Source organism: Homo sapiens, chromosome 2 (assembly GCF_000001405.40).
Source record: "Homo sapiens chromosome 2, GRCh38.p14 Primary Assembly".
Classification (NCBI taxonomy): Eukaryota; Metazoa; Chordata; class Mammalia; order Primates; family Hominidae; genus Homo; species Homo sapiens.
In genome coordinates, this window is record NC_000002.12 from 176,713,952 (window position 1) to 176,715,305 (window position 1,354).

The following is a 1,354-nucleotide window of genomic DNA, read 5'->3' on the forward strand; positions in this document are numbered from 1 at the left end:
TCTGTTTAATGAGCTAAGATAACTGAAGGCTATGGCACTCGATACATCTTGTAGCTTTTATGATATTGTCCAATTTTGCAAGATTCATAATTTACAACTCAGGTAGAGAAACGAGAGGTGGGCATGAATGGAAATTAGAAACCTGTTGGGTAGTACTGTTGAGTGTGGTGGCTTGATGTTAATTAGGATGAGAGGTTGCATGCTTTGCTCCAAGTGTGCACCACATTGGCAGCAAAGACATATTTGCTCCACCTTCATTACCTCTGAAGAAGAAAAGTCTACAAAACCCCCAAAGGTTGCCAAAGTTGGCCTTTGCTACCCTCTCCCCACTGCTTTGTTTTCAAATGCATCCTTCTCTAGGTGGCAGCCCAGATTCCTATCTCCCATCTTTTCCTGGCCCAATCTATTCTCATAATGGCTGTGATGCTGGCTGCGCATCAAAAATTTGTGCTCCTCCTTCCATGTGGCTCTGGAAAGTGGATGCCTAGGAGAGATCGTATTTCCCAGTTCCACGTGCATCTTGGTAGAGCCATGGACTAGTTCTTACCACTAGTCTATGGGCAATAAGGTGTATCCAGCTTTGGCCAAGGTGGTTAAGAAGACTTCTTCACACCCTGTCTTTCCTCTTCTGTACTGTTAACAGAGGACGTAAGGATGCCAGGGGGCCACAGTGTGGAAGGAGTCTAAATCTCTCAGTTTCCACATGGAGGAAAGCTGGCTGCTCACCATGACACCTACCTTGTACTGTTACATGATTAAAAAGTAAAATATTTTGTGATAAACCACTGAAATTGTATGGTTTGTCAGAGCAGTAAGCTTTATCCCAGCCCAGATAATACATTATGGTCCCTATTCATTCTTAGTGGGTGATATAGTTGGATATTTTTCCCCCAAAATCTCATGTTAAAATGTAATCCTCAGTGTTGGAGGTGGGGTATGGTAGGGGGTGATTGGATCATGGGGGTGGATTTCTCATCAGTGGTTTAGTGCCATCCTCTTGGGGCTGTCCTCATGACAGTGGGTGAATCCCCATGAGATCTGGTTGTTTCAGTATGGTACCTCCCCGCTGCACTCTCTCTTGCTCCTGCTTTCACCATGTGACATGCCCGCTTTCGCTTCACCTTTTGCTGTGAGTAAAAGCTCCCTGAGGCCTCCCCAGAAGCTGAGCAGATGTGGGTGTCATGCTCTTACAGAACTATGAGCCAATTAAACATTTTTTCTTTTTAAATTACCCAGCCTCGGGTATTTTTTTTATAGCAATGCAAGAATGACCTAACACGGCTGACTAAACACTAATGCCCAGGATTAAGTCAGAGAATGATGACACCCTCCTACTGGAGGATTTGTGTTTTGC

At 44.5% G+C, this 1,354-nt stretch overlaps 1 annotated feature.

Annotated features, from left to right (window-relative positions):
• Window positions 1,035-1,114: a silencer, noted in NCBI's record as "silent region_12140". NCBI's record gives its function as "represses an Ori minimal core promoter by ATAC-STARR-seq in GM12878 lymphoblastoid cells {active_cell/tissue: GM12878}" and the evidence as "EXISTENCE:reporter gene assay evidence [ECO:0000049][PMID:35858748]".